At 38.8% G+C, this 27,117-nt stretch overlaps 1 protein-coding gene across 9 annotated transcripts in view; it reads left to right on the forward strand.

The window, feature by feature from the left end:
• The window catches only part of TBC1D12 (TBC1 domain family member 12), a 133,792-nt gene that overhangs the window by 100,776 nt on the left and 5,899 nt on the right, over positions 1-27,117 (forward strand). For 5 of the 9 annotated variants that reach the window (NM_015188.2, XM_011539558.4, XM_017015999.3 and 2 more), the window contains 5 exons: positions 3,951-4,031; positions 6,775-6,863; positions 8,267-8,338; positions 18,639-18,767; positions 19,028-19,137. In NM_015188.2, the coding sequence (NP_056003.1) occupies positions 3,951-4,031; positions 6,775-6,863; positions 8,267-8,338; positions 18,639-18,767; positions 19,028-19,137 (481 nt within the window). Of the gene's footprint in view, positions 1-3,950; positions 4,032-6,303; positions 6,401-6,774; positions 6,864-8,266; positions 8,339-18,638; positions 18,768-19,027; positions 19,138-27,117 lie in introns of those variants that run through there. The other 4 variants (XM_006717732.5, XM_047424905.1, XR_945637.3 and 1 more) reach the window with 4 other exon arrangements.

Genomic DNA, 27,117 nt, shown 5'->3' on the forward strand with positions numbered 1-27,117 from the left:
AGGATGACTGAAAATCATTCATAAATATTTACCAAAGGTCTCAAACAAATAACCTTTGACTGTTTATTTCAGTTCTAAGAATTTACTCTGAGGAAATAGCCAGGATTGGATGCAAAAGCTTTTCTACAAAAATGTTCATTGCAGCAATCAGCATTATATATAATTGGACAGAATTATAACAAAAATTAAATGTTTACCCTTTGTCTGAAAAGCAATGCCAACTTTGGATATTATGATTATGTATGATTTTAAAATTTGATTTTCACAAGTCTCCTGTAATAAACATATTATTTTATTTATTTATTTATTTTTATGTATTTATTTTTGAGATGGAGTCTTGCTCTGTCGCTGAGGCTGGAGTGCAGTGGTGCTCTCTCAGCTCACTGCAGCCCCTGCCTCCTGGGTTCAAGCAGTTGTCCCTGCCTCAGCCTCCCAAGTAGCTGAGATTACAGGGGCCTGCCACCACACTGACTAATTTTTGTATTTTTAGTAGAGATGGGGTTTTGCCATGTTGGCCAGGCTGGTCTCGAACTCTTGACCTCCAGTGATAGGCCCACCTCGGCCTCCCAAAGTGCTGGGCTTACAGGCATGAGCCACTGTGCCCAGCCAACATGTTATTTTCAAAGAACTTAAAAACTTTTAGAATAGAATTTAAAGGAAGAATTAAGTTTTTATTTAACTTAGAAAAAGTTAGATTTTATATGACTTAACTGTTCTCTCCAAATATACACAGAGATTACTTTTGCTTTCTGAGTTTGGAACAGATTGAATGTTTTTAAATTATAGTCAGAACTTTCAGTTAGATTTTCTAAATAATAAGAATTTTTGAACATACTGTAATTGTTTAAAGTCTTAAGAATCAATTTTGCAAACAGGTAATGAGGTATTGATGGTTATATGAAGTTATGTTTGCAATTTTTATTGATAACTGGCTTTAGAATCTGATTTATCTTGATAACTTAGACATTAAAATATTGGTTAAATTGGTGTTAACGTTTTGTGATACTATAATCAAAAGGTTCGTTTTTAGCTTGAAATTTATAGTTTTGTAACATAACTGAGTCATTTATTTCCAACATAATTTTCGATTTTCTTCACTAAACATTTATGTATTCAAGAATGGAATGTGTGTTTATTCTCTCCTTTTTTATTAGTGCGGAAAAGATGCTAAAATTGGATTGAATTACATTTATTTTTGTTAATCTTGTTTACTTTTGAATGGCTTTAGTAATTTGACTTGTTTTAGTCATGAAATTTATAATCATTAGAGAATAGTAGCTAAGAGTAAGGGCTCTAAAGTCAGTCAAATATGGTTCAAATCTTGGTTCCACCATAATATATTAGGTTTGTGACCTTGGGCATATTACTTAACATCTAGAAATCTTAGTTTTTCTTCACCTGTAAAATAGGGGTAAGAATATGAAAGGAGTGTTCTAACAGTTATTTGTGATAATATAAAACAATAGTGAAAGTGCATTTTGCTGAGAGTATGGATAATATCATAATTGTCACAAAATCAGAAAGCAAAATATACACTGAAATCAAAGTATTCTCTGTTCAAGTCCAAAGTATCATCTTTAAGCCTGCTTCAAACTCTCCCTTTGCAGATTCAAAGCAAAGTAAGTGTGACATGAGGACCTAAGCATCAAAGTGAACTGAGATGCAGGTCTTCTTAACTGTGAATCTTACTGGAGAGATGTCCTTTGATGTTTTGAAATCATTACCACATTTTTATTATTAGATCAATTTTATGACTTATAAAACTGATGGGTTTGTCTGGTGAGCCCCCTTTTTTTTAGATAGTTTTAAAATTTGGGTATAATATTGAAGCTGACTGTCTTAGAACCAGTTTGAATTTTTTAAAAAAACTTACAATTTTATACCTAATAACCCCCAAATAATTATATGTATAAATTTTAACCTTATATTCATCTCTTCTATGAAATCACTGATGGAGCCAGGCATAAATAATAGGAATTTTGCCTGGTGTGGTGGCTTACGCCTGTAATCCTAGCACTTTGGGAGGCCGAGGCAGGTGGATCACATGAGGCCAGGAGTTCAAGACCAGCCTGGCCAACATGGTGAAACCATGACTCTACTGAAAATACAAAAAATTAACTGGATGTGTTGGTGCATGCCAGTAATCCCAGCTACTCAGAAGGCTGAGAATTGCTTGAACCCGGGAGGGGGAGGTTGCAATGAGCTGAGGTCACACCACTGCATTCCAGTCTGGGCAACAGAGAAAGACCCTGTCTCAAAAAATAAGAAGAAGAAGAATAGGAATTCTAAGTTTTTTTTTTTAATTTCTTCTTTCCAAACCATTAGTAATGATGAAAAGTAAATAGAAGGGAGAAAAGATTAGAATAGTAAGAGTCTGTTTGAAATATATCTACTCAGATATTTGATAATGATATGCTTCTTGGCAATATAAGAATACTCGTTATGGTATAGTCATTACTTTGGAAAATTATGCAGTTGTTTAAAAGAAACAAAAGCAAATCTATATCTACTAACGTGGAACAACCTCTAATATAACAAAGTAAGATACAGACCAGTGCATGAAACATGTTGCCACTTTAATTTTTTTAAAAAGGATTATATATTTATGTATATGCTTGTGCATGCATATTTTCATTCTTGGAAGAATTAGAGCTCTGATAACCACACTTGCATCTGAGGAAAGGAAATTTATTTTTCTCTCTACACTATTTTGTACTTTTTGAAATTTTTTTTTTTTTTAAACGGAGTCTCGCTTTGTTGCCCAGACTGGAGTGCAGTGGTGCGATCTCTGCTCACAGCAACCTCTGCCTCCCGGGCTCAAGTGATTCTCCTGCCTCAGCCTCCCAAGTATCTGGGATTACAGGCATGCACCACCATGCCCAGCTAAATTTTTTGTATTTTTAGTAGAGACAAGGTTTCACCATGTTGGCCAGACTGGTCTCAAACTCCTGACCTCAGGTGATCCACCCGCCTCGGCCTCCCAAAGTGCTGGGATTACAGGCATGAGCCACCATGCCCGGCCTACTTTTTGAAATTTTTTAAAACCATGTTCTTGTATTACCTTTAAAAATGAATAAAATTTTAAAAAGAATTAATTGAAGCAAAAAACTTATTTTGGACAATATATAAACTTTGGTGTTTGGGCAAGACGTATTTTTTCTATTCTTCTGTCCCTGAAATGTCCTATTTTTATGTAGTTTCAAATATCTGCAATAGTTAGTTACAAAATAAAGACCAAAAAAATTTGGGAATTGAGAAAACTTTTGAAATCTTTCCTGTCCTGAAGTTTTTATGAGACCCTGCATATGGGAGTGCCGTGACTAGGCACTTAAATTAAAAAGATAGGGGTAGAGATTTTGTTTGTTGGTGACACACACCAAGTCTGTGTGAAATATAAGTAGCTTTAGATAGCAATATCATAATGGAGAAACCAGTTTCAGTAGTGATAGAAAGCAAGATCGAGCATCTGTTGAAGTGCTATGAGGTGCCAGGAGCTTTACATATATTATTTAATCATCAGTAACCCTATGAGTAGGTGTTGTTTTTCTCTGGTTTACAGGTAAAGAAAGCTGAGTTCCAGGGTAGCTAAATAACTTTCTTGAAGTCCCTCAGATAGTAAATGGCAGAGCCAGAATTTGAATCTAGGTCTGATTGACTCCAAAAATCATTTTTTTCTGCTGTTCCACAATGATACTTCTTAGCAGAAGCATCTCTTTCTGCCTCATATGTACATTCTGTATGGATGATTACTCTGCAGTAATTTTATTTACTTTCTTTCTGAGTATATAATGAATAGTTTTGGTAGAATCAAGTACTTAGATTTGCCACTTTTTTGATGCTTGCTACATCAGAGAGACCTGACCTGTAATAGGTAAAGAGTAAAAATTAAAATTTGCAAATATATTTCTTTCCTATTATTCATACATTTTTGTTCTCCCCCCAACCCCCAGAACTTTATGAAATCTTCCTCTCAAGAGCAAAAGAACGGTGGAAAAGTTTCAGTGAAACAAGTTCAGAGAATGATACAGAAGGTGTGATTTCTTTTTTTAAATAAGAATTTTAGGATGAAAATTCAGATACTGAGCATGTATCAGAAGCTGTAGTAATCGCTTTACATATATCATCTTATTTAATCTTAACCCTTTCAGTAAACAAGGCTAGAAAAAAGACTTGATTTACAGAAAAGTTCATGTAAGTATCATCCTAAGACCTCTTAGCTATGTCAGCTATTTGTGGAGAACTAAAAGTATGTAAAAGGTAAAGAAGTTTATACTGGCAGACAGCAGCTATTTCATCATTTTTGACTCATTTTTATGAAGCATTGAAATTATGAGAATTAAAATTATAAGTATTCACTTCTGAAATATTTTTTCAATAATAAATGGTGAGGCTGGGCGGATGGCTCACACCTGTAATCCTGGCACTTTGGGGGGCCAAGGCAGGTGGATCACCTGAGGTCAGGAGTTTGAAACCAGCCTGGACAACATGGCGAAACCCCATCTCTACTAAAAAAACAAAAATTAGCCGGGCGTGGTGGCAGGTGCATGCAATCCCAGCTACTTGGGAGGCTGAGGCAGGGAGAATGTCTTGAACCTGGGAGGCAGAGGTTACAGTGAGCTGAGATCACGCCATTGCACTCCAGCCTGGGTAACAGACTTCATCTCCAAAGAAAAAGAATAAATGGTGAAAATTGCACTTTAGTAGAAATTAATTGAATGTAATGAAGAGTTCTAGTCAGAAGCAGTGTCTACATAAATTACTGTTTTCTTATTTCCTGGATATGTATAATTTGCATGTGTCATTTAACTTTTTGGTCATTGTCTTTTTAAATATTGCTTCTGCCCTTTCTTGCCTGTTTTCCTTCTGGACTCCAATTACATGTATAGTAGACCATTTAACAGTGTTTCACAAGCCTCTTATACTCTCTCTTTTTTTTTTCTTTTTTTGGTGGGGGATAGATATAATTTTATATAATTGAAAAAAATTTTAATTCATCATATAGGGATGGGGTCTCTCTATGTTTCCCTGGCTAGTCTCAAACTCCTGGCCTCAAGCAATCCTGCCTTGGCCTTCCAAAGTGCTGGGATTGCAGGCATGAACCACTGTGCCTGGCCAATTCTTTTTCTCTCTCTCTCTCTCTCTCTTTCTCTGCTTCAGTTTCATTGATTTTTATTGATCCGTCATCAAATTCACTAATCCTTTCTTCTGGTTTATCTAGTCTGCTATTAAATCTAAATCTGTGTAATGGGCTTTTAATTTCAGATGTGCTTTGTAATTGTAGAATGTTCACTTGGTTCTTTTTATACATTCTGTTTCTCTGTTGAAATTCATCTTCCCATCCCATGTTCCTTCCGCCATCTTTTCCTCTTATTTTCTTTTTAAAATTTATTATTATTTTTTTCTCTAGCGCATATCAGCCAGATATTTTCTTTAACATATTTATAACAGATAGTGTCATTGCCTGTTAATTCCAATACTGCATCATCTGCAGGTCTGCCTCTGTCGGCTGTTTTTCCCCTTGTTTCCCCTTTAAAGTGGTTGTAAGTCACATTTTCTGCTTCTTTGTATATCTTAAATGTTTAAATTGTATGCCAGACATTGTATATAAAAAGAATGTAGAAACCAAAGCTGAGGTTTCCCCTGCAGAGTAAGCTGCTCTTTCCTGTTAGGCAGTTCGATTAAGGGCTTATCACCTCAATTCAACCATTAATTGATCTAGGTTGGGGCAAGGTTGTAGGTTTAGATAGACTTAGTTTATCTTGAGTTTCAAATTTCTTGATGGGAAAAAGTGTTTTTTTTTTTTTTTTTTTGAGATGCTCACCCTGTCGCCCAGGCTGGAGTGCAGTGGCAAGATCTTGGCTCACTGCAATCTCTGCCTCCCAGGTTCAAGCAATTCTCCTGCCTCAGTCCCCTGAGTAGCTGGGATTACAGGTGCGCTCCACCATGCCCGGCTAATTTTTAGTAGAGACAGGGTTTCACCGTGTTGGTCAGGCTGGTCTCGAACTCCTGACCTCAGGTGATCCATCTTGGCCTCCCAAAGTGCTAGGATTACAGGCATGAGCCACCACACCCGGACCAAAGTGTTCTATTTTGACTACAGGTAATCTCCCTCCAATGATATGCCCTCTCAAGACCTTGTGACTTTGGATGATTTTATTCTGCATTTCTAGCCCAGCCTTCTGCATTCAGAAAAGTCCCATAGGGAAAACCAGATACACATTCAGGGCTCCTCCAGATTCTTGTCTATCACATCAATTTTATTTGGCCATGTGTAGCTCTTCTGGTTTCTCTTCCTCCAACTAGGGTGACTTTGTCTTCGGCGAGCTCGATCCTAAGCCCATACCTAGACCTGGCAGATACCCCTAGGAAGAAAAATGGACACTGGTGTCTACTCACCAAGGAAAGACTCTTACTTTTCTGGAATTTAAATCCTATTGATCTCTCTGTGTCCATAGCTCTCTGATGATTTTTTAAATGTGATATTTGTAAATTTTTTTCCTAGTTGTTACCATGGAAATGATGGTCTGCCCATATCTTCTGTAAAAACTGGAATTAGAAATCCTTTACCATATAACTTTCTGATAAATGTATAGCTATTTTCTTTGTACAAGAGAATAACAAGTTCTAACAAAAGCTATGTGACATTTCTTATAATTTCTTGATTATTCAGCTTTTAACTTAAATAACACATGCTGTGTGATCATTCTGTATTTATAAAATTGGACTTGTTAGAGCCAAGTGATCATTTAAATTGTATCTGCTTGGTAAATGCAGGTGTATCTGTTGCTGATCGAGAGGCCAGTCTGGAATTAATTAAGTTGGACATATCCCGTACATTTCCATCTCTCTACATCTTTCAGAAGGTGAGGGTTTCTAACCAGCTTGTAATTACTTAAAAAAAATCTATCAATATCCAAGGCAACAGATTCTTTAAATGAATAGCTATTACTTTAAAAAAGGCAAAACTATAGAAATTGGGGACCCTGTATAAAAAGTGTAAAACTAGTTATAAAATTATAAAGGAATTTCTATTATTTTATTCCACTGACCGAAATACATTATAGTTAGCATAGCATTTAATACCTTTTATGTAGTAGGCACTTGATGAATTTTATTACAGTGAATTTATTTTGCTTTTTATTTTGTAAGATATATGAATTCTTAATATTTTGGCCTAGTAAATTGTTAAAGTATAAAGAACTTTTCACAAAACTTAAAAATTTTCAGAATTATCATTAAAATAGGAAGAAATGGTTTTCTTTGTACATAGGCTATTATGAAGTTGCTTATACCTTATGAAAAGAGAAATGACTACATTATATATACTTTATCTTTGACTCATGTCTTTATTTTTATTTCTTTTTAAATTTGAGATCAGGTCTTGCTGTGTTGCCCAGGCTGGACTCAAACTCCTAGGCTCAAGCAATCCTCCTGCATCAGCCTCCTGCATAGCTGGGATTATGGGATTACAGGCATGTGCCACCACACCCAGCTGATTCAAGTCTTTATACATGGAATTCTTCTATCTTTAGATTGATAAAAATAAAATGAGATAAAAATTTTTACCATTAAGATTAAAATTATTAACACAGTTTAGTTTAGCTTGATGGTTTTTTTTCTGCTGATGGTGTATTACATAAAATGAAACAGTGTGTATTCATCATACCCTTATACCAAATCTAGAAGATTTTAAAACTGTTGACAAATTATATAGCTTGTATCCATCAAGTAAGTTTATTTGGCTTTTTGTTGTTGTTGTTATTTAGTAGTAAATATTTCTTTTTTTTTTTTTTTTTTTTTTGAGAGATTCTCACTCTGTTGCCCAGGCTGGAGTGCAGTGGCACAGTCCTGGCTCAGTGCAACCACTGCCTCCTGAGTTCAAGCGATTCTTGTGCCTCAGCCACCCGAGTAGCTGGAATTACAGGCGTATGACACCATGCCCAGCTAATTTTTGTATTTGTAGTAGAGATGGGGTTTCACCATGTTAGCCAAGCTGGTCTCAAACTCCTGGCCTCAAATGACCTGCCCATCTCGACCTCCTAAAGTGCTGGGATTATAGGCATGAGCCACCGCACCCATCTGCAGTATTAAATATTTATTATTCATAATTTGGAAAACATCTTGGCAGAGTACATTTATAATATTTTTTATTAAATATGCTAAAACTAGTCATTTAGGAAATGCTACAGTTTATTAACATGTTATATGAAAATTAACTTAGAGAAAATTATTTGTACAGTTTCAAATTTCATTTTTCTCTCCTAAGGGTGGTCCATATCATGATGTCTTGCATAGTATTTTAGGGGCATACACATGCTACAGGCCTGATGTTGGTTATGTAAGTATTTGTTTCCATCTGTTTTTTGAATATAAGCATTTTATCTACACTCTTTATCAAAATATCCTATGTTGTATTAGCTCCCAAATGTCTGTATTTCTATGTCTGTTTTTCTTAGGCTTATCAATTTACCCAGTGAAGAATCTTTCTATCTCTTGCCAAGAGCTTATATGTACTTGAGGCTGCCAGCTTTCTGGGGGAGCTGCGGGAGATTTCACCATGCAATTTATAAACTTTTATCTCATGCCCTGATATCAGTGTGATGCCTTGTCCCCCTCTTCCTAACCCTCTTTTCCATGACTGTGCCTCTAGAGAGTAAACCTCCTATGTTCTACCAGGTTAAGGGAAGGATAGGTACCTGTCCCTAAAGGATAGGGGAGGGGATTTGCTCCTTATACAGACTTTCACCCAATCCTATTTTTAGCTCTCTTTCTCCATTTCACAGGTACCTGACAACTTCAGCTTCTGAGCCTTCAGGGTTTTACAGCTGAATTGGCTTGCTGATTATTGGCTTCCTCCTCTGTAGATATTTTAGTTTTAACATTCTACACTTATTTAATTTACAATTTCTAAAATACTATTAACTATCTACTGTATAATTTTTCATTCTTGTAGTCCTTGTGGGTTAATATTTATTTTTTCTTTACTGTATTTTTAGTTGGATTTTGCAGGAGAACAAAGAAAGATGTGATGTTCAATTGCCATTTTTAACTAGAAGTTATAGAACTTTCATCTTCTCACCTTTGCCTTAAAATAGAAGAATGTTAGACCTCTCTATAGGGTGGCTGTCTGGTACAAGTTACTTTGTTCTGTTGCATGTTCATTTCTATGTTTGTTTACTCAACAAATATTTATTGTGCTCTTATGACTATATGTCAGGCATTGTTCTAGGCACTTGAAATACCTCAATGAACAAAATGATTTCTGTCCTTATGATGCTTACAGTTTAGAAGAAAGAAACAGACAATAAACAACAAACAAATAAGTAAATCATGTTATATTAAAAGATAAGTGCTGTAGAAAAGTGTGAGATGATAAAGGGGGAAAGTGCTAGATTTAGGGTGGGGCAGGTTGTAGTATTTGAAAAGATCGTAAGATAGTCCTTATAGAGAAAGTTAGATTTGAGCAAAGAGTCTTTAAACTCTCTTACTCAGGTATTCTGTGAATGAATTGTAAGAACACCTTGTATCCCCTTCACATGTTAAAGTTGAAGTTTAAAGTTTTTCATCGTAAGTTTACTTGTAAATAATTTAATTTTTTAGCACTGGTTAAATGTTGACATCTTATAGTTTTCTAAAAATGTCCCCAGGCATGCCGGGCGTGGTGGCTCACGCCTGTAATCCCAGCACTTTGGGAGGCCTAGGCGGGCAGATTCCATATTCAGGAGTTCGAGACCAGCCTGACCAACATGGTGAAACCTCGTCTCTACTGAAAATACAAAAATTAGCTGGGCATGGTGGCACGCGCCTGTTATCCCAGCTACTCAGGAGGCTGAGGCAGGAGAATCGCTTGAATCTGGGAGGCGGAGGTTGCAGTGAGCCAAGATCGTGCCACTGCACTCCAGCCTGGGCAACAAGAGCAAAACTCTGTCTCACAAAAAAAAAAAAAAGTGTCCCCAGGCTGGGCACAGTGTCTCATACCTGTAAATCCCAGCACTTTGGGAGGTTGAGGCAGGAAGATCGCTTGAGCCCAGGACTCCCAGACAGCAGTGAGCTAGGATTGGACCACTGCATTCCAGCCTGCACAACACAGCAAGACCCTGTCTCAAAAAAAAGTCTGTAGTGGAGTTTAAATACTGTAATAAATTTACATATATCATAGTCCATTTAAAGAAAAATATATTAACAAGCTCTTCATTAATATTTTACATTTTTGCTTTTTCTCTGAACTTGTATTTCTTTTTTTATTTTTATTTTTTTGAGACAGGGTCTCACTCTGTCACCCAGGCTAGAGTACAATGGCGTGATCATGACTTACTATAGCCTCGACTTCCTGGTCCCCTGGTCCCTGGTGATTCTTCCATCTCAGCCTCCCAGGTAGCTGGGACTGCAGGCACAAGCCACCATGCTTGGCTAATTTTCTGTATTTTGTGTTAAGACAGGGCACTGTTTCCCAGGCTTATCTTGAACTCCTGGCTCAAGTGACCCGCCTGCATTGGTCTCCCATAGTGCTGGGATTACAAGTGTGACCTACTGTGCCTGGCTGATATTATGATTTTTTTAAATATAACGTTGTATAATTAAAACAAAGTAATTAACCTGCCCAACATCTGAAATATCTGACATTTTTTGTAATGAGAGTAATTTGAGATTTACTCTCTGAGTGACTGTGAAATGTACAGAACTCAGTTATTAGTTGTATTTGCCATGTTGTGTAATAAATCTCAAAAAAAAAACAAAAAAAAAAAAACAGGCCAGGCATGGTGGCTCATGCCTGTAATCCCAGGCATGTAATCCCAGGCATGTAATCCCAGCATTTGGGAGGCCAAGGTGGGAAGATCGCTTGAGCCCAGGAGTTTTAAGACCAGCCTGAGCAACACAGTGAGACCTCATCTCTGCAAATAATAAAAAATTAGCCAGGTGTGGTGGTGTGCACCTGTAGTCCCAGCTACTCAAGAGGCTGAGGTGGAAAGATCGCTAGAGTTCAGGCTCTTGAAGCTGTAGTAAGCCGAAATGGTGCCTGGGCGATAGAGTGAGACCCTGTCTCAAAAAAATTAAAGTTACTCCTCCTTTCTAACTGGAGCTTTTTGTACTCTTTGATTATCGTCTTCCCCACCCCCAAGCCTCTGGTAACCACTATTCTACTCTTTGCTTCTATGAGTTCAGTGGTTTTAGATTACACATTTAAGTGAGAACATGCAATATTTGCTTTTCTGTTTTTTGCCTTATTTCACTTAGCATAATGTTCTCCAGTTCCATCCATGTTTTCCCAAACGACATAATTTCTTCCTTTGTTAAGGCTGAACAGTATTCTTTTGTATACATACACACACTCTCTCATCCCATTCATCTGTTGATGGACACTTATGTTGATTCCTTAACTTGGCTATTTTGAGTAGTGCTGTAATGAACATGGGAGTGCAGGTATCTTTTTGACATACCGATTTCAAGTCTTTTGGGTAATAGCCAGAAGTGAGATTGCTGGACCATATAGTAATTCTATTTTTAGTTTTTTTTGAAGAACTTCCATACAGTTTTCTATAATAGCTGTACTAATTTACATTCCTATAAACAGTGTGCAAGTTTTTTTTTTCTTTTTTTTTTTTTTTTTTGAGACGGAGTCTCACTCTGTCGCCCAGGCTGGAGTGCAGTGGCGGGATCTCGGCTCACTGCAAGCTCCGCCTCCCGGGTTCACGCCATTCTCCTGCCTCAGCCTCCCAAGTAGCTGGGACTACAGGCGCCCGCCACTACGCCCGGCTAATTTTTTGTATTTTTAGTAGAGACGGGGTTTCACCGTTTTAGCCGGGATGGTCTCGATCTCCTGACCTCGTGATCCGCCCGCCTCGGCCTCCCAAAGTGCTGGGATTACAGGCGTGAGCCACCGCGCCCGGCCGCAAGTTTTTTTTTCCAACAACCTCACCAACACTTATGTTTTGTCTTTTTGGTAATAGCCATATAAAGCAGTCCCCGCTTATCCTCAGGGGATATATTCCAAGACACCAAGTGGAATATATAGGTTTGGTTTTTTTGTTTTGTTTTGTTTTTGTTTTTGAGACGGGGTTTCGCTCTTGTTGCCCAGGCTGGAGTGCAATGGCATGATCTTGGCTCACTGCACCCTCCACCTTCTGGGTTCAAGCAATTCTCCTGCCTCAGCCTCCCAAGTAGCTGGGATTACAGGCGCCCGCCACCATGCCCAGCTGATTTTTTGTATTTTTAGTAGAGACGGGGTTTCACTGTGTTGACCAGGCTAGTCTCGAACTCCTGACCTCAGGCGATCCACCCGCCTCGGCCTCCCAAAGTGCTGGGATTACAGGCGTGAGCCACCCTGCCCGGCCTATGTAGGGTTTTGTACTTGTCCTGAAACTGCAGATAGTGCAGAATCCTATATATACTATGTTTTTTCTGTACATACATACCTATGATAAAATTTATTAATTAGGCACAATAAGACATAAACAGCAATAACTAATAATAAAGTAGAACAATTATAACACTATTCTAACAATTTAGGTGAAAGAAGCATTACTCAAACACAAGCTCTACAATACCACAACAGTTGATCTTATAACCGAGATGGCTACTAGGCAGGTGGGTAGCATATACATGGTTACACTGGATAGAGGGATGATTCCCCTCCTTGGCAGGAAGGAGCAGGACCACTCCAGATTTTACCACCCTATTTAGAACAGCATGCAATTTAAAACTTATGACTTGTTTGTTTCTGGAACTTGCCATTTAATATTTTCAGACCACTGTTGACCGTAGGAAACTGAAACTTCAGAAAGCAAAACTGGGGAAAGTGGAGGACTACTGTATTTTATTTCATTTCTCTCACAGAATTTTATTCTAATGTAACACTTTTCTGCCCAAAAGTCTTTTAGTAATCTCATTATACTTCTGCTACAAATATATAAATTAATTAAAAATTAGCTTTATTTCTGATATACATAATATTCTAAATATTAAACGTTTTTTCTAATTTGTGTTATTACAATTATTAGTATAACTGATCAAAACAAATCTATTAGAGAAACTACATAAATGAAAAAAACAAAACAAATTTATTTTTTTGGTTGGGCATATATAAATTTTCAATCAACTTTTTTTGTTTTTTTTAAAATTATACTAAGTTCTAGGGTACATGTGCACAACGTGCAGGTTTGTTACATATGTATACATGTGCCATGTTGGTGTGCTGCACCCATTAACTCGTCATTTACATTAGGTATATCTCCTAATGCTATCCCTCCCCCCTCCCCCCACCCCATGACAGGCCCCCGTGTGTGATGTTCCCCTTCCTGTGTCCAAGTGTTCTCATTGTTCAGTTCCCACCTATGAGTGAGAACATGCAGTGTTTGGTTTTTTGTTCTTGCGAACAGTTTGCTGAGAATGATGGTTTAATTATCTCAGTAACTCAATTAGATTCTCCTTTAGCTTTATTGAATACAGAAGACTGTTAACTACTTGAGATGCAAAAACATTTTGTTACCAATCATTAGAATTGTTCACTTTCTCAATTTCTATAAAGTATCCCAAAAGCCTTTATTGAGACTAGTCAAAATATCTATTACTGACATTTTAGGCTAAATTTTATTTTGTGTTTTGTGTTTTTTGTTTTGAGACAAGGTTTCACTATGTTGCCCAGGCTGATCTTGAACTCCTGGGCTCAAGTGATCCTTCCACCTCAGCCTCCCAAAGTGCTGGGTTTATGTATGAGCCACTGCACCCAGCCTACACTAGACTTTAAAAAAAGAAAAAAAATATATTAAAATTATATCTTCAGGCTGCGTGCGGTGGCTCATGCCTATAACCCTAGCACTTTGGGACACTGAGGCAGGCGGATCACTTGAGGCCAGGAGTTTGAGACCAGCCTTGCCAACATGCCAAAATCCTGTCTCTACTAAAAATACAAAAATTACATGGGTGTGGAGGCGCATGCCTGTAATCCCAGCTACTCAGGAGGCTGAGCCACGAGAATTGCTTGAATCCAGGAGGCAGAGGTTGCAGTGAGCTGAGGTTGTGCCACTGCACTCCAGCGTGGGTGACAGAGCGAGACTCTGTCTCAAAACAAACAAACAAAAATCCTCACTTAAAGGCACTTGTTTAACCTGGTATACTGAGAAAAATTGGGGAAAATTAAAATACTGTTACTTTTATTACACTTATGATAATGATTTTTTAGAATATGTTTTAAATATTTTTTTTTACCCTGGCTGCAGACTTATTAGGTCACTGTATATTTGCTGCTGAAATGAGCTCTGTTAGGTCACTGAATTTATGTAAAGTGACCACCATATAACTTAACTGGTGGTATCAAGGCTCACTGACAAACCAGTCAGTCAAATCACACTTACTTTATAAGTTAAAAATAGTGTAGACTATATTGGAATACCTATTTCATGTCATGATTTGACAAAATACGTTTTTAACTATGTTAATGAATAACATATGCTGAATCTATAAATAACTCACGAAAGTTTTATCTGTAGATTTTATTCTTGAGAAAATTTGGTAATCTTGGTTCACATTTCAGTTATACTTATTTAAAAGAACCACAGGCTGGGTGCGGTGGCTAATGCCTGTAATCCCAGCATTTTGGGAGGCCGAGGCAGGTGGATCACCTGAGGTCAGTAGTTCGAGACCAGCCTGGCCAACGTGGCGAAATCCCGTCTCTACTAAAAATACAAAAATTAGCCAGGTGTGGTGGCATAGGCCTGTAATTCGAGCTACTCGGGAGGCTGAGGCAAGGAGAATTGCTTGAACTCAGGAGACGGATGTTGTAGTGAGCCGAGATCCCGCCACTGCACTCCAGCCTGCGTGATGGAGCTCTGTACTGCAATTGCTGTTCTCTTTTTTCTCCTAGGACTCTCCCTCAAGGACTATGCATTCTTTTTTTTCTTTTCTTTTTCTTTTTTTTTGAAATAGAGTCTCGCTCTGTCACCCAGGCTGGAGTGCAGTGGCACAATCTCAGCTCACTGCAACCTCCGCCCTCTGGGTTCAAGCAGTTCTCCTGCCTCAGCCTCCTGAGTAACTGGGATTACAGGCACATGCCACCATGCCTGGCTAATTTTTGTATTTTTAGTAGAGAACCAGTCAGGGTCATGTGTGGTATTTAGTTGTTCTTTTTAGTTTCCTTTAAAACAGAACAGTTCCTCAGCCTTTTGTATGTGTCGTAACAATGTCACTTTTCAAAAGTTAAGTCTAGCTGTTTGCGGAACGACCCTCAACTTGAATTTGATTATTTTTTCATGATTAGATTCAGGTTAGACAGTTTTGTCAGCAATACTACATAAACAATGTATCTTTTTTAGTGCATCACACCATGAGTCAATAAATAATGCAAAATATTTAGAAGAATTGGACTCTGAAGAAATTATAGAAATAACTTTTTCTTATTTTCTTTTCATATATGCACAAGAGTGATATATAATAAATCTGAATGAGCTATAAATAGTTTTAAAAATATGCATAATATTCCGGGCTGGACACGGTGGCTCACGCCTGTAATCCCAGCACCTTAGGAGGTCAAGGCAGGCGGATCACCTGAAGTCAGGAGTTTGAGACCAGTCAGGCCAACATGGTAAAACCCCGTCACTATTAAAAATACAAAAATTAGCCAGGCGTGGTGGCAGGCACCTCTATTCCCAGCTGTTCGGGAGGTTGAGGCAGGAGAATCACTTTAACCTGGGAGGGGAAGGTTGCGGTGAGCCAATATCGTGCCACTGCACTCCAGCCTGGACGATAAGAGCTAAACTCTGTCTCCAAAAAAATTAATTAAGTAAATAAATATTCCAAGTGATAAGGTATTATGCCATTGCTTAATTGGCAGCATTTTTTCTTTTTTAGCAGTATGTAAAATAATGTTACTTAAACACCATCTTAGGTACAATTAAATGTAATTTTAATTCCTTCTATTTACTTTGCTACCATTCTATTACAGATGGTTAATAATTTGCCCCTTGTATTCATTCAGCAAATATTGTGGTACTAAGAATACAACTATGAACAAACAAACATGGTGTGGTCTCTGTGCTAGTTCCCTATGGATACTGTAACAAACTACCACAAACTTAGTGGCTTTAAACACCACAAATTAGGCGAGGCGCAGTGGCTCATGCCTGTAATCCCAGCACTTTGGGAGGCTGAGGTGGGAAGATTACTTGAGGTCAGGAGTTTGAGACCAGCCTGGGCAACATAGGAAAACTCTGTCTCTACAAAAACAAAATTTAAACAAACACACATACAACAACAACACAAAGTTACTGTTTGACAATTCTGGAGGTCAGAAGTCTGAAATAGACTTCACTGGGTTTAAGTCAAAGTATTGGCAGGGTTGTGCTTCCTCAGGAAGTTCTAGGGGAGAATACATTTCCTTGCTTTTTCCACCTTCTAGAGGCTGCCTACATTCCTTAGCTCATGGGCCTATAGCTCCATCTTCAAAGCCAGCAGTGTAGCATCTTCAAATCTCTCTCTGACTAACCTGCCTTCTTCTTTCACTTATAAGGAACCTCATGATGATTACTTCAGGCCCACCCAGATAATTCAGGATAAGCTCCCTATCTCAAGATCCTTGACTTAATCATATCTGTAGAGTCCCTTTTACCATGTCCAGCAACATATTCATAGCTTCTGGTTATTAATAAGGACTTGGACATCTTTGGTGGGCAATTATTATGCCTACTACAGTCCCTGTCTTCATGGAACTTAAGTTCTAGAAAATCAAATAGGCAATTACTGTAGAATCTGCAAAAAGTACTCAGAAGAAGACAGAGAAATAAGATGAGAACAAAGAAATAATTGGATTGCAGAAGCTAAGGGAATGCTGTTAAGAGAGATAGCACCCTCTGGGTTTTTCAATAAGTATCATTGGTCATACTGGCAAGAGAAATCTCAAAATAGTATGGTAATGGAGTGGGAATACATACTGAAGTGTGTTAAAGGTGAAAAGGGAGCTGAGAGCCGGGTGCAGTGGCTCACGCCTGTAATCCCAGCACTTTGGGAGGCCGAGGTGGGTGGATCACCTGAGGTCGGGAGTTCAAGACCAGCCTGACCAACATGGAGAAACCCCGTCTCTACTAAAAATACAAAATTAGCCGGGGTGGTGGCACATGCCTGTAATCCCAGCTACTCGGGAGGCTGAGGCAGGAGAATCGCTTGAATCCGGGAGGCGGAGGTTGCAGTGAGCTGAGATCACACCATTGCACTCCAGCCTGGGCTAAAAGGGTGAAACTCCATCTCAAAAAAATAAAAAAATAAAAGAAAAGGGAGCTGAGAAAATAGAGATAGTGATTGTAGGCATCCCTTTCAAAACACTTGGCTGGGAACAAGAGACAGAGTTATCATTGCAGGTGTTCTTTTTTTTTTGAGACCGAGTCTCGCTCTGTCACCCAGTCTGGAGTGCAGTGGCGCAATCTTGGCTTACTGCAAGCTCCGCCTCCCAGGTTCACGCCATTCTCCTGCCTCAGCCTCCTGAGTAGCTAGGACTACAGGCACCTGCCACCACGCCCGGTTAATTTTTTGTATTTTTAGTAGAGACAGGGTTTCACCATGTTAGCCAGGCTGGTCTTGAACTCCTGACCTCAGGTGATCCGCCCGCCTCGGCCTCCCAAAGTGTTGGGATTACAGGCGTGAGCCACTGCGCCTGGCCCATTGCAGTTATTCTTAATGGTCTCACTGTGTAAGTCCATTATACAAATCTCTTCTAGAAGTAAGTGATAACTTTTTTTTTTAATTAAACAAATGTATGGGCTGGACAGGCGTGGTGGTACACACCCATAGTCTCAGCTACTCAGGAGGCTGAGGCAGGAGGATAGCTGGAGCTGGGAGGCAGAGGTTGCAGTGAGATGATATGCCACTGCATTCCAGCCTAGGTGACTTGAGTGAGACCCTGCTTCAAAAAAAAGAAACCAAAAAAAAAAAAAAAACAAAAAAAAAACAGGAGAAGAAGTATATGATAGCTGCCAATAACTTACAAGCAAGAAGCAAACATCTATACAGCTTAGCCTTTTACTCAAGGTCTTTCACAACATAAACACATCCTACCTTCTCTAAATGCCTTTCCTTACTCCAGCTGAGCTGGTCCTATTGTTCCCATTTTTGTGTCTTAGTTCATGCTTCTTTTCCATTTTAGGTTTTTTCCTATTTCTGTCTCTTGCTTTTCCAGGACTCCAGGCTCAACCCCCACAACGTCTCCTTTCTTGGTATTTCAGCAGCACTTCTGATAGATCTCTTTTATTCTGAGTCCTTCATTTTTTACTCAGATGTGTTATAACAATGAAAATAATCACCTGATTTTTATTAAATTTTGTGATTCTGTACTCTATTTTGAAAGAATTCAGACTGAGAGGAAATGAAAACTAGGTAATACGCTGAGATAGCCTTTTGTAGCAGTAAAATCTGATACTTTTTTGTTTTTCAAAAATTCTCCCTAATGTTGAAAAACCACACCATATGAACAAGAAATTAGGGAGATTTCGTAATCATTAGGGGCTCTCTGTATTTACCTTTGCTGGGAAGGAAAAAAGAAATCTTGGTTAATTCTACTTTGTAATGTCACTGTAATTTTTCAGGAGTACAATAAAATAAACTATATAGATTTATTATTGTAAGTCCATTTTGACTAAATTTTTCTCCCTTTGAAGGTCCAAGGGATGTCCTTCATTGCAGCAGTACTCATTCTCAATTTGGAAGAGGCAGATGCCTTTATCGCATTTGCCAATCTCCTGAATAAGCCATGCCAGTTGGCCTTTTTTCGTGTGGATCACAGCATGGTATGAATGGATCATGTTTTCCATTGTTTCTGTAGTTTGAATGCCCTCTTAGAGTGAAAAACAATAATTAGAAGGCCAAAACAATCTAATCTAATATAAACTTATCATTATATTATAGTTTATTAATGAATGTTTGCTGAGAAGACTCAGAAAAAGATGAGATTCTTAATGAGCACGATTTCCTGTTAGTGTTTAAGCGTTTAATTTCTTTATTTCTAGACTATATACTTTCATAATTTTATTGATTTTTTAATCTTTAGATGTTGAAATATTTTGCAACATTTGAAGTATTCTTTGAAGAAAATCTTTCCAAATTATTTCTTCACTTCAAATCTTACAGTCTTACACCAGATATATACTTGATAGACTGGTAAGTCATAACATACGTAATATATAATAATGAAAAGGAAATAAAGTATAACTTTTTGTGTGTTTTAGGAACTAGAGTAAATCTCATGTGCAGGATTTTACATATAAAGAGCCTTCTTTTACAAATTTAGAAACTTCCAAATTTTTGTGGGGACGCATTTGATTAAGAGCATGGACTCGGCTGGGTGTGGTGGCTCATGTCTGTAATCCGAGCACTTTGGGAGGCCGAGGTGGGCGGATCACCTGAGGTCAGGAGTTCAAGACCAGCCTGTCCCACATGGCGAAACCCCGTCTCTACTAAATATACAAAAACTTAGTCTTGGCCAGGCACGGTGGCTCATGCCTGTAATCTTAGCACTTTGGTGGGTGGATCACGAGGTCAGGAGTTCGAAACCAGCCTGACTAACATGGTGAAACCCTGTCTCTACTAAAAGTACAAAAATTAGCCAGGTATAGTGGCATGCACCTGTAATCCCAGCTACTTGGGAGGCTGAGGCAGGAGAATCGCTTGAACCCAGGAGGCGGGAGGTTGCAGTGAGCCAAGATTGCGATACTGCACTCCAGCCTGGTGACAGATCGAGACTCCAGCTCAAAAAAAAAAAAAAAAAAAAGAACTTAGCTGGGTGTAGTCGCTGTAGGCTGCAGCAGGACAATTGTTGGAACCTGAGAGGCAGATGTTGCAGTGAACCGAGATCACACCCCAGCACTGCAGCCTGGACAACAGAGCGAAACTCTATCTCAAAAAAAAAAAAAAAAAAAAAAAAAGAGCATAGACTCTGGGTTGAAATCAGAATCTCTCAGTTTGTGTTTCAGTTTTTTGTCTATAAATTGGGAATAATATTATCTTTATCTTGAGTTGTAGCGAGGGTGTTTTACGTGGATTATCTCATTCAATGCCTAGCACATACTAAGCTCTCAGAGTTAGTTGCTATTTATTTTATTATTAACACACAAGGGCTTATGATAGTTATAATAGTGTTTCTTTACTAAGGGCTTCATATTGTTTCTTTTTATTTCAAGGTTTTATCAAGCTTTTTTTCCCCAAGATGACACCAATTTGAATTTTTTAATTTGATCTCCCTTCTTACATATTGTCTGAAATTTTTTTTAAAAATGTAATAAATGTAAATACGATATACTTTCTCCAAGTTTCACATATGAATAGCTCAGCTTTTTACTGTTCCACACACAATTTTATTTCCTAGATTTTCTCTAGCTTAAAAAAAAAGGCCAAGTGCAGTGGCTGACGCCTGTAGTCCCAGCACTTTGGGAGGCCAAGGCGGGAGGATTGCTGGAGGCCAGGAGTTTGAGACCAGCCTGGGCACCACAGCAAGACCCCATTTCTACAAAAAATAAAAATAAAAAAATTGGCCAGACATAGTCGTGCATTCCTGTAGTCCCAGCTACTCAGGAGGCTGAGGTGGGAGGATTGCTTGAGCACAGGAGTTTAAGGTTACAGTGAGCTATGATTGCACCACTGTCCTCCAGCCTGGGTGACAGAACGAGATCCTATTAAAAAAAAATTATGTATGTTGCCAAATCATGTATACTGCAGACAGGATCACCATTTTATTACTTGTGTTTAAAGTTCAAAGTTTTTTAGACTTTTTGTTTGTCATATTAAGACTAATGATATTAATGGTGTTCCTAATAGGCATACAGCTCTCCTACAACCTGTAATTCAGGCACCAACGTTCCTTCCATTTTTTACTTCCACCGTCTTTAACAAGGCATTTTCAGGGTTTTCACAGAAGGGGAGAGAACAAGGAGACTCACAAGGGGAGATTTTGGGAAGCTAAGCCTAGAGGTATTACGCATCTCCTCCTCTCACATTCCACTGGCCAGGACTCAGTCATGTGGCCACAACTAACTGCAAGTGAAGATGCAAAATGTGGTTTAGCTGTTTGCCCAGAAAGAAAAAGAAATGGTTTGGTAAACAGCCAGTTTCTACCACACATACTTTTTTTCTGTTTAATCAGAACAACCACATAAGATATGTACTGTAAACCAGGGCATGATGGCTCACGCCTGTAATCCCAGTACTTTGGGAGGCCGAGGCAGGCGGATCACGAGGTCAGGAGATCGAGACCATCCTGGCCAACATGGTGAAACCCGATTTCTACTAAAAATAGAAAAATTAGCCAGGCATGGTGGTGCATGCCTGTAGTCCCAGCTACTTGGGAGGCTGAGGTTGGAGAATCCCTTGAACCAGGGAGTTGGAGGTTGCAGTGAGTCGAGATCGCGCCACAGCACTCTAGACAGAGCGAGACTCCATTAAAAAAAAAAAAAAAAAGATATGTACTGTAATTTTTACCACATACTGATGGGGAACCTGAAATTTTGTTTTTTATTTTTTCGTTCATTAAAAAATTTTTTTTTTATTTTTTATTTTTTGAGACAGTCTAGTTCTGTTGCCCGGGTTGGAGTGCAGTGGCGCAATCACAGCTCCTCCCACCTGGAACTCCTGGGCTCAAGCATTCCTCCCACCTCAGCCTCCTGAGTAGTTGGGATTACAGGTATGCGTCACCATGCCTGGATAATTGATACTGAAATTTTGATAGGCTTGAGTACCATACCTAATATTTCACAGTTAATAAATGGCAGAATAGAAACTAAAACCTCAGCAGTCCAGTTCCAGAAACCATATTCTTTATAAAGTTAACTACAACATGACCAACACTGATTTTACTGAAGAGGAATATTTAGGGTTTTTTTAGTTGTAAGAGAGGTGGGATTTTAGAACTGGAAGTAATCCAAATTCATCATTTTAGAGCTGAAGAAATTGAGATGCAGAAGTAGAATGTCATAGTGAAGGTCGAATCATTGCTGTTCAAGTATTATACAATATAAATAAACATTTTTTAAAGAAAATATAATGGCTGGGCATGGTGGCTCATGCCTGTAATCCTAGCACTTTGGGAAGCCGAGGTGGGCAAATCACCTGAGCTCAGGAGTTCCAGACCAGCCTGGCCAACATGGTGAAACCCTGTTTCTACTAAAAATACGCCGGATGTGGTGGCCTGTGCCTGTAGTCCCAGCCACTCGGGAGGCTGAGGCACGAGAATTGCTTGAACCCAGGAGGCCAAGGTTGCAGTAAGTCAGGAGGCTGAGGCACGAGAATCGCTTGAACCCAGGAGGCCAAGGTTGCAGTGAGCCGGGATCACGCCACTGCACTCCAGCCTGGGCTACAGAGCAAGACTCCGTCTCAAAAAAAAAAAAAAAAAAAGCTAAACAAAAAAACCGTAATTGCAACAATGTAACAATGTATATTACATTTTCTAAAAGTTAATTTCTTAAGCTATGTGGTTTAATGGAATTAAGATTTCTTTTTCTTTTCACTCTTTTGAAGTTTTAAAATATTTTTTTTAGTTGACACATAATAATTGTACATATCCATGGGGTACATAGTGATGTTTCTGTACATATAATGTATAGTGATGAGATCAGGGTAATTAGCATATCCATCATCTCAAACATTTATCATTTCTTTGTGTTAGGAACATTCAGTATAGTTGTCCTATTTGAAACCATATGTTAACTATAGTTACCCTACAGTGCTATAGAACACTAGAACTTATTCCTCCTATGTGGCTGTAATTTTGTATATTTTAACAAATTTCAGCCTATCTCTTCCTTCTCTCCACCCTTCCCAGCCTCTAGTATCCTCTGTTCTACTTTTTACTTTTATGAGATCAGCTGGCCAGTGCGATGGCTCATGCTCATAATCCTAGCACTTTGGGAGGCTGCAGCAGGCTGACTGCTTGAGCTCAGAGTTTGAGACCAGCCTAGGCAAGATGGCGAAACCCCATCTCTACAAAAAATACAAAAATTAGCTGTATGGTACATGGTGGCATCACCTGTAGTCCCAGCTACTTGGGAGGCTGAGGTGGGAGGATGGCTTGAGCCTAGGAGGCTCAAGTGAGCTGATATTGTACCACTATATTCCAGCCTGAGCAACAGAACCAGACCCTGTCTCTGAGAAAAAAAAAAAAAAAGAAAGAAAAAGAGAGTGACTAGCATTTTTTAGCTTCTGCATATGAATGAGAACATGCAGTATTTCACTTAACATAATGTCCTCTGGTTCTATCCATGTTGCCACAAATGACAGGATTTCATTCTTTTTTGTGGCTTAGTAGCATTCCATTGTGTGTATGTACCACATTTTCTTTATCCATTCATCTGTTGTTGGATACTCAGGTTGATTCCATATCTTGGCTATTGTGAATAGTGCTGCAGTAAACATGGGAGTGTAGACCTATCTTAAACATACTGATTTCAATTCCTTTGGGTATATACCCAGTAGTGTCATTGCTGGATCATATGGTCGTTCTATTTGTAGTTTTCTGAGGAATCGCCATACTGTTCTCCATAGTGGCTGTACTTTACATTCACAACAACAGTGTATAAGAGTTCCCTTTTCTTTGCATCCTTGCCAGCATTTGTTATTTTTTGTCTTTTTGATAATAGCTATCCTAACTGGGGTAAGAGGATACCTCATTATGCTTTTGATTTGCATTTCCCTGATGCTTAATTATGTTGAGCATTTTAAAATATATCTGTTGGTCATTTGTGTGTCTTCTTTTGAGCAATGTCTGTTCAGATCATTTGCCCATTTTTTAGCTGGATTGATTGTGTGTGTGTGTGTGTGTGTGTGACGGAGTCATTCTCTGCACTCTGTTGCCCAGGCTGGAGTGCAGTGGCGTGATCTTGGCTCATTGCAACCTCCACCTTCACGGTTCAAGTGATTCTCGTGCCTCAGCCACTCGAGTAGCTGGGACTACAGGTGTGCACCAGACCTGGCTAATTTTTGTATTTTTAGTAGAGACGGGGTCTCACCATGTTGGCCAGGCTGGTCTGGAACTCCTGACCTCAAGTGATCCACCGTCTCAGCTTCCCAAAATGCTGGGATTACAGGCATGAGCCATGGTGCCTGGCGTTTGTTTTTTTTTTTTCTTTTGCTGTTGAGATATTTAAGTTCCTCATAGATTTTGCCTATTAATTTCCTGTCAGATGAATAGTTTGCAGATATTTTTTCCCATTCTGTGGGGTTTTTTTTTTTATGCTATTGATTGCTTTATTTGGTGTGCAGAAGCTTTTTAGTTTGATATAATCTAAAAATGGGAATTTGTTTATTTTTGGTTTTGGTGCCTATACTTCTGAGACCTTACTAATAACATTTTTTCCAAGACTAATGTCCTGAAGCATTTCCCCTATGTTTTCTTCTGATAGTTTTATAGTTTTGTGTCTTACATTTAGGTCTTTGATCCATCTTCAGTTGACTTTTGTATAGGGTGAGAAGTGGGGGTCTAGTTTTGTTTTGTTTAATTTTCATATGCATATCCAGTTTTTCCCCCAGCACCATTTATTGAAGAGACTGTCCTTTCCTGAATTAGTGTTCTTGGCATCTTTGTCAAAAATCAGTTGGCTATAGATAATGTGGATTAACTTCTGGGTTCTCTATTCTGTGCCATTTTTCTATGTATCTGTTTTTATGCCAGTACTATTCTGTTTGGGTTACTATGGCTTTGTAGTGTATTTTGAGATCTGGTAGTCTAATGCCTCCAGCTTTTTTTTTTCTTCTTTTCTCAAGATTACTTTTGTTGTTTGAAGTCTTTTGAGGTTTTATATAAATTTTAGGATGGTTTTTTTATTTCTGTGAAGAGTGTCATTGGTATTTTGATAGGGATTTTATGGAATCTATAGATTATATTGGGTAGTATTGTCATTTGAACAATATTAATTCTTCCAATCTATGAACATGGGATGTCTTTCCATTTGTTTGTATCCTCTTCAGTTTCTTTCATCAGTGTTTTCCTTGTAGAGGTCTTTCACCTCCTTGGTTAAATTTACTCCTAAGTTTACTCCTTATTATTTTTGTACCTATTATTAATGTATCCAGTTTTCTGATAGAAGAATGATGCCTTATTTAGGCACTAATGTCTTTTATCATGTTTTCTGTTGAAAATCTTTTGTTTTAACTTGGAGAGTTTGCCTTTGAAGCAATACCCAGTAGATTATAGAATGGTGGGTGAATTTTGCCAAAGAGATGGAGCAGTTGATCTTAAGACAGGTTGTTGTTAAGAATACACATGGGTGCAGAGGCTCATACCTGTAATCCCAGCACTTTGGGAGGCCGAGGCGGGTGGATCGTCTGAGGTCAGGAGTTCAAGACCAGCCTGGACAATATGGTGAAACCTTGTCTCTACTAAAAATACAAAAATTAGCCAGGTGTGGTGGCAGGCACCTGTAATCCCAGCTACTCGGGAGGCTGAGGCATGAGAATCTCTTGAACCCGGGAGGCAGAGGTTGCAGTGAGCCGAGATCCTGCCACTTCACTCTAACCTGGGAAATAGAGCAAGACTGTGTCTCCAAAAAAAAAAAAAAAGAATTCACATGATAATTTGAGGAGGGGGAAGAGTACAGATGACATATTTAAACTTTAATTCTTAACAATTCACAACCAGTGGGTTTCACGTAAATGGTATTAAGCTTTAATGTAGAAAAATAAATAATGGCATTGGTCAAATGTGTCTTCTCAGGTCTTCTTTGGTTCAGGATTTTTTTTTTTAATTTTTTTGAGACAGGCTCCCACTCTGTCACCCAGGCTGAGTGCAGTGGCGTGATCACAGCTCACTGCAGCCTCAAAATCCCAGGCTTAAGCAGTCTGCCCACCTCAGCCTCTCGAGTATCTGGGGCTACAGGCAAACCACTACACCCAACTAATTTTTGCTATTTTATAGAGATGGGGTCTCACTATGTTGCCCAGGCTGGCCTTGAACTCCTGGATGCAAGCGATCCTCCCACATTGGCCTCCCAAAGGCTGAGATTACAGGCATGAGCCACCAGACCCGACTGATTTAGGCTTTTTTAAAAATTAAGTTATTGGCTGGGCACAGTGGCTCATGCCTGTAATCCCAGCACTTTGGGAGTCCGAGGCAGGCAGATCACCTGAGGTTGGGAATTCGAGACCAGCCTGACCAACATGGAGAAACGCCGTCTCTACTAAAAATACAAAATTAGCCGGGCGTGGTGGTCCATACCTGTAGTCACAGCTACTCGGGAGGCTGAGGCAGGAGAATCGCTTGAACCCCGGAGGTGGAGGTTGCGGTGAGGTGAGATTTTGCCATTGCACTCCAGCCTGAGCAACAAGAGCAAAACTCCATTAAAAAAAAAATTATTTTTCAATGTATTCTCTTCCCGTCCCCCAAGAGCATTAGAGTTACTCAGGGAAGGACCCAAGAAAATGGGAGAAGGGTTTTTTAATATTATGGGACTGAGATCCAAGTTTAAATACTAATTCCATTAAGAAGGAAAAAAAAGTCCTCCATTGTCAGTCTTGAGAAGTGTGAGCATGGGGGATAGCAGGATCACAATTGATGTGGGGGACAGGAGAGAACTAATAAAGAGTAAGTACTGTATACTAGAACCTGAGCCTAGGCACTCCTCATTTTGAACAGGGAGTTTTATACTACCAAAAGTGGTTTTTGTCATATGATTAAATACGTGTTTGTAATTTAAGAGATAGGGATGGACTTTTGTTTCATGTCTCTGTTGAGTTTATTATATACAAATCCCAGAGACATTTTTGTGGGATAGGAATGAATAAGTGGCAGTGCAAAAGGATTTTTTTAAAAATTATTTTGGCGAGGAAGCTTTTAGTTCCCTTCCTCAAACCCCATCAGCACTACCTCAAATAAACACACAATCAGTGTAAACAATTGTATACTTTCTTTGCCAAGGCAACTTCAAGACAAGTCCTGTAATACTTACTCTCCCCACTTCCCCCAACCAGAATGGCTCCCAGAGAACCACTGGATAAAGAATTACGTGGTCAGACATTGTCAGAAAGGTTGGGAAAAACCATTTTGGTGATTCTATTGGAAGGTATACATGCTTCAAAAGAAGTAGTAAATAAAGCTGGGTGGAGGAAAAAGACAAAACAAAACAATGGATGTTTGTGCAAGGGGAAGAGAAAAGAGAG

This window comes from Homo sapiens, chromosome 10 (assembly GCF_000001405.40).
Source record: "Homo sapiens chromosome 10, GRCh38.p14 Primary Assembly".
In the NCBI taxonomy this organism is placed as follows: Eukaryota; Metazoa; Chordata; class Mammalia; order Primates; family Hominidae; genus Homo; species Homo sapiens.